This window comes from Homo sapiens, chromosome 12 (assembly GCF_000001405.40).
Source record: "Homo sapiens chromosome 12, GRCh38.p14 Primary Assembly".
In the NCBI taxonomy this organism is placed as follows: Eukaryota; Metazoa; Chordata; class Mammalia; order Primates; family Hominidae; genus Homo; species Homo sapiens.
The window spans coordinates 118,041,550-118,054,126 of NC_000012.12; the positions used below are offsets into that span (position 1 = coordinate 118,041,550).

Sequence of the window (12,577 nt, forward strand, 5' to 3'; positions counted from 1 at the left end):
CTTGGGAGAGAGTGCCAGTGCCTTCACACCATGGGGACAAGTGGCCTCTTCATGACCCTCCTTCCAATCCCTCCAGCCCCTGATCCTCTTCATGACCCTTTACCACTGCCTCCTTCCAATCCCTCCAGCCCCTGAGCCCCATCCAGGGCTGGAGGAATTGAAAGATGGCATTGCAATAAATTCCCCTCTCTTATGTCACTTTTTTTTTTTTTTTTTTTTTTTTGAGACAGAGTCTTGCTCTGTTGCCCAGGCTGGAGTGCAGTGATGCGATCTCAGCTCACTGCAACTTCTGCCTCCCAGGTTCAAGTGATTCTCCTGCCTCAGCCTCCCGAGTAGCTGGGACTACAGGCGCCCACCACCACGCCCAGCTCATTTTTGTATTTTTTAGTAGAGATGGGGTTTGGCCATGTTGGCCAGGCTGGTCTTGAACTCCTGACCTCAGGTGATCCACCCGCCTCAGCCTCCCAAAGTACTGGGATTACAGGCGTGAGCCACTGTGCCTGGCCTCTTATATCACCTTTCTAGTTAAGGATCAATCCAGAAATGTATGGAATTCCTTATTGGGCCACCCCTGTATATAGTTTGCTCGAGGCAGAATTTCACAAAACCTGATGCCCCATAGCCTGAGAGAATTATTCTAGGCTTAGAGTCTGCTTCAAAAAGAAAGTCTTTCTTTCTAACAGGAAGCACCCAACAGGGACTTCTAGATCAGTGGTTCTCAACCTGGGGAGACCTTGCCCTTCACAGGACATGGGGACTTTTTTGCTTGTCACAACTGGAGAGGATGCTACTGGCATCAAAAGAGAAGAGACCAGGCACGCTGCTCAGTGTCTTAGAATGCACAGGAGAGCCCACGACAAAGGGTTATCCAGCCCAAAATATCCATAGTGCCGATGAGAAAACCTGTTCTAGATCAAATATTTTTAACAGGGGCAATTCACCCCAAGAGGGTACAAACTAGTTCTTGGTAGCCAAAAAAATCTTAACATTTTTTTACATACAAAGCATAGACATGCATTCAGCACATAAGTAGATATACAATATATCTTCGATATTAAAATAGCCTAAATAGACACACAGTATATGTTCGGTATTAAACTCTATTTGGTATAGTATTATCTTTGGGGCGGGCAGGGGCGATTAGGAAAAAACTGTCTAAAAGGCTCCTTAAGGGGCAATCACAGAAAAAAACATCAAGAAACACTGTTTTAGATAAAAATGACACTGGTAAAGTGGAGAAAGCAAATACAGTATTTTTGGAGTTGCCGAGTAGTTCCTTCACTTCCCATACCGTGTTTATTCAGGTCCCAGATGCGAAGAGTCTTATCCCGTGACGCGGAGACCAAAATCAAACTGCCACTGGGTGTGAAGCTCAGATCTCTCACGACATCTTGGTGGCCGGAAAGATTCAAAAGCAGGAGCCCTGGCATGGGAGCAGGGGCACTGAGTCAGCCAGAGAGGGGGCACGAGGTGTGCCTGCCACGGCCACACCCCTTGGCCAACGTGAGTGGGGCAGGGAGGCGACATAGTCAGAACATGCACCCGAGCCTCCCAGAACCTTGTGCCAGCCAGGAATGACCTACCTGTCTGCACCTCCCAGATCTTGATCTGCCCATCGTTGAGTCCCGTAGCAAGAACCAGGCAAGAGACATCGGGCACTTGGGGGTGGTGGCGTGCCCAGAGCTTCCTGCTGGGTGGGGAAGGCCACGGGCTGAAGGCCAGCCCCCAGACAATCTGACCACAGTCCAGCGTCTTCTCTTTTGGGCTGCCCCGCCCTTTCGTCTCATTTTTGCTACTTCGGCTTTTGGCTTCAAACCCTTTAGGGATGCTGGGAGAAGCAGAGATTTCTTAATGAATCTGCAATTGTTACCAGTCTATCAACTTTTCATCCTGGGACACGTAAGACTTTTGGGGAGTGGAGGGAAGGGTCTGTCACCCAAGCTGGCGTACAGTGACACAATCATGGCTCACTGCAGCCTCGACCTCCCTGTTCAACTGATCCTCCTGCCTCAGATCCACCAAGTAGCTAGGACGACAGGCATGTGCCATTAGGCTCTGTTAACTTTGTTTGTATTTTTTGTAGGACGGAGTTTTGTCATGTTGCCCAGGCTGGTCTCAAACTCCTGAGCTCAAGTGATCTGCCCACCTTGCCCTCCCAAAGTGCTGGGATTACTGGCATAAGCCACCCCACCCGGCCACATAAGACTTTAAATCCTAGAAACAAGCTGGCCTTCGGTGAAATCTGCTGTGACTTTTCTTTTTGTTTCTTTTTAAGAGTTGATGTAGGCCAGGCGTGGTGGCTCATGCCCGTAATCCCAGCACTTTGGGAGGCTAAGGCAGGTGGATCGCCTGAGGTCTAGAATTCGAGACCAGCCTGGCCAACATGGTGAAACCCCATCTCTACTAAAAAAAAAAAACAATTCGCCGGGCGTAGTGGCGGGTGCCTGTAACCCCAGCTACTTAGGAGGCTGAGGCAGGAGAATCGCTTGAACCCAGTGGGTGGAGGTTGCAGTGAACCAAGACCGCACCATTGCACTCCAGCCTGGGGAACGAAGGCAAAACTCTATCTCAAAAAAAAAAAGAGTTGATGTTAACACAGGCTATACTGGCCATGGCTCAATCTATTTGCAACAGCCCTGCAATGGGGTGACCTGCCTTGTGGGATAACTAAATAACAGATGCTCCAGGGAGTCACATGCTTGCTCAGAAAGTTCTCTCAGGTTTTGATGAGTGGAAGGAAAAAGACACTCAGTTTTTCCCATGAGTAAGAAAGCATACTGCAGGTTTGGAACTAGGGCAGAACTTAGAGGCTGAATATCCACCACTCTCCTGCCTGATGAGTTCCCTTATCACTAGCTTAGAAATCCCCAAGGAGTTGGAAAATAAACTCATCTTGCCAACACCGTTTGTTTGGTACATGTTAATTTCCACCTTCACTCACGATGTTGCAACTGATTAATGAGGCTCCTTCATTTACTTCCTAACTGATGGTAACCCGCACAAGGATCAAACAGCAAGGTAGTCAAGAGAGAAAACGAATTCACAGGGCTGTGTAGAGGTATCCTGTCCTGGAAGATCTCTTAATCCCACCCTCTCCTACAATTCAACTTACAGTGAAACAGGCCCAGATAAGCTAAAACATGAGGCCCTGGCCACCACTGCGCCCAGGAAACAATGTCTCAAATGCACAAGCACTTGGCCGGCCCTGGGGTTGAGCCTGAAAACATGAAGCTTACTGTTTGCGGTACACAGCACAAAGGTCTCCATGTGACCCTGACCACACTCTGGTTGGTTAAACTGGCGGAAATGGAGATGAGAAAGCTGAACGCCAGGATGAGGTCAGATTTGATTCCATGAGAAATCCTAAACTCAATGCATACGTAGTTGAACATCTTTATGTATTAATTGGTGCGAAAATAATTGCAGTATTTGCAATTACCACCATTACTTTTGCACCAACCCAATATTATAGATGTTCCTGAAAAATTCTAAGTAAATCACATTTTTGTCAATTGTGTGGTGAAATACACAAAAGAATTTTAACTGGCCGGGTGCGGTGGCTCATGCTTGTAATCCCAGCACTTTGGGAGGCCAAGGTGGGCAGATCACGAGGTCAGGAGATCGAGACCACGGTGAAACCCCTTCTCTACTAAAAATACAAAAAATTAGCCGGGCGTGGTGGCGGGTGCCTGTAGTCCCAGCTACTCGGAGAGGCTGAGGCAGGAGAATGGCGTGAACCCGGGAGGCGGAGCTTGCAGTGAGCTGAGATCGCACCACTGCACTCCAGCCTGGGCAACAGAGCAAGACTCCATCTCAAAAAAAAAAAAGAATTTTAACCAAGCTCATTTACAAAATTAGAAGGGAGGGGCCGGGCACGGTGGCTCACACCTGTAATTCCAGCAATTTGGGAGGCTGAGGTGGGTGGATCACCTGAGGTCAGGAGTTCGAGACCAGCCTGACCAATATGGTGAAACCCCATCTCTACTAAAAATACAAAAATTAGCTGGACGTGGTGGCAGGGACCTGGTGGCGCATGCCTGTAATCCCAGCTACTCAGGAGGCTGATGTGGGAGGATTGCTTGAGCCAGGAGGCGGAGGTTGCACTGAGCCAAGATCACACCACTGCACTCCAGCCTGGGTGACAGAGTCAGACACTGTCTCAAAGAAAAAAAAAAAAAAAAGGTCTACACTCTTAGCAATTGTCAAGTGTACATTATTAATAACCACAGTCATCATGCCATACAATAGATCTTCTGAACTTACCCTGCTTAGCTGAAACTTTATACCTTTGATCAATATCTCCCCACTCCCTCTCCCACCCCCGGTAACCACCATTCTACTCTCTGTTTCTATGAGTTAGATATTTTTAGATTCTACATGTAAGTGAGATCATGCAGTATTTGTCTCTCTGTGCCTAGTGCATTTCACTTAGGATAAAGTCCCTCAGGTTCATCCATGTTGTAGCAAATGACAGGATTTTGTTCTTGTCAATAAAGTTTTATTGGAACGCAGCCACAGGCATTTGGTTAGGTATTGTCTGAGGCTGCTTTCACACTGTGACAGCGGAGTTCAACAGTCAAGACAGGGACCTTATGGCCCACAAAGCCTAAACTATTTATAGAAAAAGTTGGCCAGGTACCATGGCTCACGCCTGTAATCCCAGCACTTTGGGAGGCTGAGGCGGGCGGATCACTTGAGGTCGGGAGTTTGAGACCAGCCTGGCCAACATGGTGATACCCCATCTCTACTAAAAATACAAAAAAACTAGCCAGGCCTGGTGGGGGGTGCCTATAGTCCCAGCTACTCGGGAGGCTGAAGCAGGAGAATCACTTGAGCCCAGGAGGCAGAGGTTGCAGTGAACCGAGGTTGCACCACTGCCTGCACTCCAGCCTGGATGACAGAGCAAGACTCCATCTCAAAAAAAAAAAAAAAAAGAAAGAAAAAATTTGTCAACCTCTGGGTCTAAATCGCCAAATATAGGCTAAAACTTGTTATTCTGGCCAAACAATCTGAATGTGACCATGAATGTCACTTCGATCGGCTGCCTCTCCACAGACTGTCCAGACCTGCCTGGCTCTGGCCCTGGCACTGGCCCCTGAGTTTGTTGTCACGAGAAGCAGCACTTAAGAGGCAGGCTATGGGAAGAGGTTTAAGACAGCTTGGAACCACCAGTTAAATTTGTTTTATTTGTTATAAAATCCTGATTTCTGTATTTGTTTTATTTATTTTGGTTTTTTTTAAAGACAGGGTCTCTCTCTGGCACCCAGGCTGCAGTGCAGTGGTGTGACCATAGCTTACAGCAGCCTTGAACTCCAGGGCTCGAGCAGTCCTTCCATCTCAGCCTCCTGAGTAGCTGGGACTACAGGCGCATGCCACCATACCCAGCTAATTTTTTAATTTTTGCAGAGACAGGGTCTCACTATGCTGCCCAGGTTAGTCACTAAATCCTGGCCTCAAGCAATCCACCCCACCTCAGCCTCCCAAAGTGCTGAGATTACAGGCGTGTGACACCAAACCTGGCCCTAATTTCTGTATTTGAATTAAGGAATACACCTGTAGCTACTTTATTCCAAAAGAATTAAGGCATATTTATTATTTCATTTTAATATCCTAAATTTAATTTTTCTAGAAAGAGATACTAAAATCTCCATTTTATGGGTTATTAACTTTCCTGGGGTCACAAAATCAGGGGCAGAACTGGAACTAAGGTCTTAGGTATCCTGGCCTAATGCTCAACAAATACTTTGAGTTTGCTAATGAATCAAGGGATGAGTTACGTGAAAAGCAGGGAGGTCGTACCGTGGGAAAGAGCTGATGAGGCAAGACAGATTCATTGGCAGAATTTAGCTTCACTGAAGTTAAAGTTTCTAAAAACTTTATTTCAAAAAGCAGTATAATTATTTGGTTAATATCAATTATTTGCTCAATATCAAAAGCACTACATGATTTTTAAAAAATGTATAACTACCCTAACTAGAATATAAATGCCCCAAATTCTCTCTTTTAAAATACTTTTAAAATAGCTATTGTTGGCAGGGTGTGGCGGCTACGCCTTTAGGAAGCTGAGGTGGGAGGATCACTTGAGACAAGGAGTTCAAGGCTGCAGTGAGCTATGATCATGCCACTGTACTCCAGCCTGGGTGACAGAGCAAGACCTTTTCTCTGCCCCCCAAAAAGCCCGATTATTTTAAATTATAAAAATAATAAATAAAAATAGTAGCGAAACATGGGAGAAATGTGAAAATGAGACAAAGTAAAAATTACCTATAATCCTAACACCACCATTCTAAACGTCTCACTATAAATTTTTGTGTATATACACAAATGTCTTTTAAAAACAAATCTGATATCATACTGCATACATGGTTTTACAAACTGCTTTTTTTTGTTTTTTTAAGAGACAGTGTCTTACTGTTGCCCAGGCTGGAGTGGCCTGGTATGATCAGAGCTCACTGCAGCCTCTAATTCCTGGGTGCAGGTGATCCTCCCATCTCAGCCTCCTGAGTAGCTAGGACCACATGCACCTGCCACCACGCCAGGCTAATTTTTAAAACTTTTTTGTAGAAACCAAGTCTTGTTACGTTGCCCATGCTGATCTAGAACTCCTAGCCTCAAGTGATCCTCCCACTTCTGCCTCCCAATGTGCTGGGATTACAGGCGTGAGCCACCGCACCCGGCCATATAGCCTGTTTTTTTTCAATAAGCCTCATACTGCAAACATTTCCTCAGAATACTGTTCTTCAAAATATGTGATTTTGCCAGGTGCAATGGCTCACGCCTGTAATCCCAGCACTTTGGGAGGCCAAGGCAGGTAGATCCCTTGAGGCCAGGAGTCAAAGACTGGCCTGGGCAACATGGTGAAAACTTGTCTCTTCTAAAAATACAAAAAAATTAGCTGAGTGTGGTGGCACACGCCTGTAATCCCAGTTAGGAGGCTGAAGCAGGAGGACCACTTGAATCCAGGAGGCAGAGGTTAAAGTGAGCCGAGATGCGCCACTACACTCTGGCCTGGATGACAGAGCAAGACTCTCTCAAAAAAAAAAAAAAATGTGATTTTTCTCCAAAACCAGTAACTTCTCACTTAACATATGAAACAATAACACTTTGCTCATTATGTTAAATAATAAATATGAAAAAAAATGGTTAATACTCAAATACCTTTTTTCATTTTCCTTAGCTAATAGTGAAAAGATATATTCATCTATACAAATTTATGTTTTGTTCAGAAATAGGATTTAAATTTATGGTTTGTTCAGAAATAGGATTCAGAAAAAAAAATTGTTATTGTTTTCATTTACTGATACCAGTAATTAAAGTAAAGGAGCTTTCCCCAACCGACACATGCTCCACACTAGACCCTGAGCCACCCACAGTGCCCTTAGGGAGATGCAAGCCCAGGCCCTTCCTTCTACCCGGGAGCAGCTCTAGGTCATGTGACAGAAAAAAGACATATTTATCTATACAAATTTGAAAACAAGAGTGATTTTCAGGAAACTGACAGATCTTCCATGTTGTGCTTTTTAAAAAGAGCAGACTATAGAATTTATAATTCATATAGTAAATTTACTTACATGTCAAGTCTAGAAATGAAGGTGCATCCCTTGTATTTCAGGTAGGGAATTAGTAAACAATGTATGACCTTGGCATTATCATTAAACTGACCACAGAAGAAACTGAAAACTCTGATTAAAAACACATAACAAAATTTGATGGCTGCAAAAATATCATATGGAAATGGTAAAATTTTCGTAACCATCCTCTCATCCCTGGATTTCAAACTGTTTCCAATTTTCTTAACATGCAACTAATTTCATGATGAAGATCAGTGTATATAAATAGATGACACCATTTCTGAGATTTTTTTTTTTTTGAGATGGAATCTCGCTCTGTTACCCAGGCTGGAGTGCAGTGGCGCGATCTCAGCTCACTGCAACCTCCGCCTCCCAGGTTCACGCGATTCTCCTACCTCAGCCTCCTGAGTAGCTGGGATTACAGGTGCACACCACCACACCTGGCTAACTTTTTGTATTTTTAATAGAGACAGGGTTTCACCATGTTGGCCAGACTAGTCTCAAACTCCTGACCTCAAGTGATCTGCCTGCCTCGGCCTCCCAAAGTGCTGGGATTACAGGCATCAGGTACCGCGCCCAGCCCAGAAGAACATTTTTCAGGTCCTTGATGCATTTTGCCAGGCTTCCTTCCAAAAACTGCACAAATTTATCCCCCTCAACTCTAGCAGCATGCAGAGTACCCATCTCAACAAACTCCTGTCAACATTCCCTCTTATCAAGGCAAGTTTCATATCCAACTTATAAAAACCTTAAATCTAATGTTATTTATAAAAAATGCTTAAAGAAAAATAAATGAAAGCCTCAAGGGCAAGGGCCATGTCTGATTTATCTAACGACTCTCAGTCCCTAACTCAGTGTTACGCAAAGAAACTATGTAACCAAGGCTGGCCAACATAGTAAAACCCCATCTCTACTAAAAATACAAAAAAATTAGCTAGGGGTGGTGGCGCATGCCTGTAATCCCAGCTACTCAGGAGGCTGAGGCAGGAGGGAAGTGGAGGTTGCAGTGAGCCGAGATCGCACCATCGCACTCCAGCCCGGGCGACAGAGCGAGACTCCATCTCAAAAGAAAAAAAAAGAAACTACGCAACCAAGGCTGGCTGAATGAATAAATACAGACATAGAGTTGCCCTGGGACAAATGAAAACATACAGATGCTGGGCCATCTGAATGGGAGCTCACGGCATTCTGACACTGGGGCTTGTCCATCCCAAAGAAAGAAAAACTGGTATTAGAAACTAAACTTGGCCAAGCGCCATGGCTCACACCTGTAATCCCAGCTACTTGGGAGGCTGAGGCGGGAGGATTTCTTGAGGCCAGGAGTTCAAGACCAGCCTAGGCAAGACCCTGTCTCTACAAAAAATTTAAAAGTTGGCTGGGCATGGTGGCGCGCCTGTAGTATCAGGTACTTGGGAGGCTAGGGCAGGAGGATAGCTTGAGACCAGCAGGTTGAGGCTGCAGTGAGCCGTGACTGAGCTACTGCACTCAAGCCTGGACAACAGAGCAAGACCCTCTCTCTCTCTCAAAAAAAATAAATGAATAAAATAAACTTGGTTGATAATAAAAAGACAAAAACGAGCAAAGGCTCTGAGTAGACATTTATCCAAAGAACGTATACAAAGGACCAGTAAGCACCTGAAAAGATGCTCGGCCAGGTGTGGTGGCTCACACCTGTAATCCCAACACTTTGGGAGGCCAAGGCAGGTGGATCACCTGAGGTCAGGAGTTTGAGACCAGCCTGGCCAACATAGTGAAATCTCGTCTCTACTAAAAATACAAAAATTATCTAGGCGTGGTGGTATGTGCCTGTAGTCCCAGCTACTTGGGAGGCTGAGGCAGGAGAATTGCTTGAACCCAGGAGGTGGAGGTTGCAATAAGCTGAGATCATGCCACTGTACTCCAGCCTGAACAACAGAGTGAGACTCTGTCTCAAAAAAAGAAAAAAAAAAAGAAAGAAAGAAAAGACGCTTGACATCCATAGCCATCAAGGAAATGCAAATCGAAACCACTATGAAATGCCACTTCATACCACTAGGATGGCTGCCTGCTAGGATAATAAAAAAAGACAGACAATAACAACGGCTGGATGTAGAGAATCTGGAACCTGAATCCACTGCTGGTGGGAAAGTAAAATGGTGCAGCCACTCTGGAAAACAGTCTGACACCTCCTCAAATAGTTAAACATAGAAAACACAGGTTTTCTATAAATGTTCATAGCAGCACTATTTGTAATAACCAAAACATGAAAACAACCCAATGTCCATCAACTGATAAATGTACGAACAAAATTTGGCATCTCCATATGATGCAATAAAAGGAAATGAAATACTAGTATATGCTAGAATACGGATGAACTGTGAAAACATTATGTAAAATGAAAGGAGCTAGTCAAAAAAGGCTACGTGTTGTATGACTCCATTAATAGGAAATGTCTAGAATAGGCCAATCTAGAGAGACAAAGTAGATTAGTGGTTGCCTGGAGAGTGCAGGGGGGTTGGGGGATCTAAATTAAGGGGTACAGGGTTTCTTTCTGAGGAAATAAAGATATTCTAAAATTGATTATGTGCCAGGCACAGTGGCTCATGGGAGAAATGTGTAATCCCAGCACTTCGGGAGGCCGAGGTGGGTGAATCACTTGAGGTCAGGAGTTTGAGACCAGCCTGGCCAACATGGCGAAACCTCGTCTCTACTAATAATACAAAACTTAGCCAGGCGTGGTGGTGTGTGCCTGTAATCCCAGCTACTCAGGAGGCTGAGGCAGGAGAATCGCTTGAACCCAGGAGGCAGAGGTTGTAGTGAGCCAAGATTGCGCCATTGCACTCCAGCCTAGGAGACAGAGGGAGACTGTCTCAAAAAATAAATAAATAAAGTAAGACTGATGATGGTGATGGATGCACAACTCTGTGGATAGACTAAAAGCCACTGTATTGTATACTTAAATGGACAAACTGTGTGGTATATAAATTACATCTCAATAAAGCTATGGGAAAAAAAGCCAACTTGGGGCTAACATAATCTTGACAGAATTGACTTTCACATATACAGAACTTGGGGCTCTGGAAACCCCCATGATCAATTCCTGAACCATGAGCCACCTTCCCTCTCTCTGGTTCTTGGGCACAGAGATGGCAAAAGAACAAGGAGTGTTTGGAAATGCGCCGGATGGGGCCCCAGTACGAGAATACTTACAACTGCTCCTCCAACGGCCAGGGGATCAGTTTGACGATGCAGTGTCCTTGAGACCAAGCAAACCAGGAGCCATCTGGGGAGAAGGCGACGCTCCAGGTTTCACAGCTGGACTTCCAATCAAACTGGTGGGGGCGCCCGGGCTTGAGTTCGGCCAGCAGCAGCGGTTCCTCTGGGGCAGGAGACAACATGCTTCAAACACACACCCCCTTGCTCCCTGACCACCCAGACACAGGAAAGCCACTGTCTCCCTGTGGCAAAGAGCCACACTATCCATTCCCAGAGGGAGTTGTCACTTAAATGACCCAGGGCAATAACAGCAGCCACAGGCCACATTCCACCACGGTTACTCAATCCTGGCACTCCTCACTGCTGGTTAACCATGACTCACAGTAACCTTTGTGCCCATGAACCCAGTGAATGGAGGCCTCATTTTCCTATGAATACTTGAAGGGGAGGAAAGTGGAGAGACAGCCAGACCAGGAATATGCTAGACGGTGCTGATTATGGGGCCAAAATAGCAAGGCCTTCCAATGCATTTCAGGTTTCTTCAGAAGAACCTGCTGCTGTCAAAGAAGGAATATGTGAAACTCAAAGGCTCCCTCTCACTCGCCTGCATCCTCCCCATCATCAAGGCTAAAAACGTTCAGCCCTTGCCCTGCTTCCTCACACTCAGAAGTATGGATTCCATCTCCCCATCTCTCCCGCTTCCACGTCCTCTGTCTGGGGTTAAACCTTCATCTCATCTCACCCAGATCTTTTGCTACAGTCTCCTGATCAGTCTTCCTACCCCTAGAGATGCTGCTAAAGCTGAAATACCCACACATCACATCATTTCTTTCAAATACATTAGAAAGCTCCCGCCTGCCTACATCATAAAGGCAACTGAGACCAGGACTTTCACCACATGCCATCTGCCCCAGCCCATCGGTCCAACCTCCTTCCCTTGTCCCCTCCCTGCAGGCCACACTCTGGCCACAAAATCTCCTTGACATGCAAGGGGCTTATTTACGTTCACACCTGGACCCACTTTTGCTTATGAGAATCCCTAGCTTCTCAAAGTAACAAGAAAGAAAGAAAAAAGTAATAATCCCACCTAGATTCACAACTAAGAAGCGTACCCTGATCTCACACTATCAAAACGGAAATAAGTCGCACCTTGTTTATTTCATTCTCTCTTATGTAACCAATTTCTCTCTGCCCCCCGCCCTCGTCATCAGTGTCTAAGCACCTTGTTCCAACACCCAGATCATTTTGTCTTTGTTTCTCCCAGGACCTAGCACACCATCTTGTGAAAGAGTAGGCACCAGATTGGAGCTTCTTCATTGACTGACCCACAGTTCCTAGTTCAGTTCTCTACTCTGATGGAAGATTCTCATGGCTGATGAAGCTTATAAGTTAAAGGCCTTCAGAATGAATTTTTTGACCATTATGACTGTGATACTTACTAATATAAAAACTGGCTTCCATCCTGAATAAGGTCACTTCCTGATGTGTCCATTCCACACAAGGAATGTGGAATGTGGAAGACTTTGACCCTGGCTGTTACCAGATAGATATTCATTTTTAAAACCCGTATTTCATATATTTTAAGACACATCTTTATATATCTTACATTTTGACCTCGCTGAAATCAGGATGTATCTTATAATCAATGACTTTTCATAGTTAAATAGGTAGTATTTTTTTCTCAGTTATACATGATGATAATACAATCCATGGTATCTTGGATTCAATAAAACAGATGGTAGAGATGCATATGTGTATATTTATAAAATATTTTTGCCAGGTGCAGTGGCTCACATCTGTAATCCCAGCAC

The 12,577-nt window shown here is 45.1% G+C and overlaps 1 protein-coding gene across 3 annotated transcripts in view, besides 1 other annotated feature; it reads right to left on the reverse strand.

Annotated features, from left to right (window-relative positions):
* WSB2 (WD repeat and SOCS box containing 2) overlaps positions 1-12,577 on the reverse strand; it is a 29,488-nt gene that overhangs the window by 8,863 nt on the left and 8,048 nt on the right. For 2 of the 3 annotated variants that reach the window (NM_001278557.1, NM_018639.5), the window contains exons 2-4: positions 10,761-10,929; positions 1,584-1,828; positions 1,292-1,423 (exon numbers count right to left, since the gene is read on the reverse strand). In NM_001278557.1, the coding sequence (NP_001265486.1) occupies positions 1,292-1,423; positions 1,584-1,828; positions 10,761-10,929 (546 nt within the window). The remainder of the gene's footprint in view (positions 1-1,291; positions 1,424-1,583; positions 1,829-10,760; positions 10,930-12,577) is intronic. The other variant, NM_001278558.2, reaches the window with a different exon arrangement.
* Positions 10,325-11,524: an enhancer, noted in NCBI's record as "MED14-independent group 3 enhancer chr12:118489679-118490878 (GRCh37/hg19 assembly coordinates)". NCBI's record gives its function as "activates an origin of replication core promoter dependent on BRD2, BRD4, P300/CBP and CDK7 cofactors, and independent of MED14, by STARR-seq in HCT116 cells {active_cell/tissue: HCT116}" and the evidence as "EXISTENCE:reporter gene assay evidence [ECO:0000049][PMID:35650434]".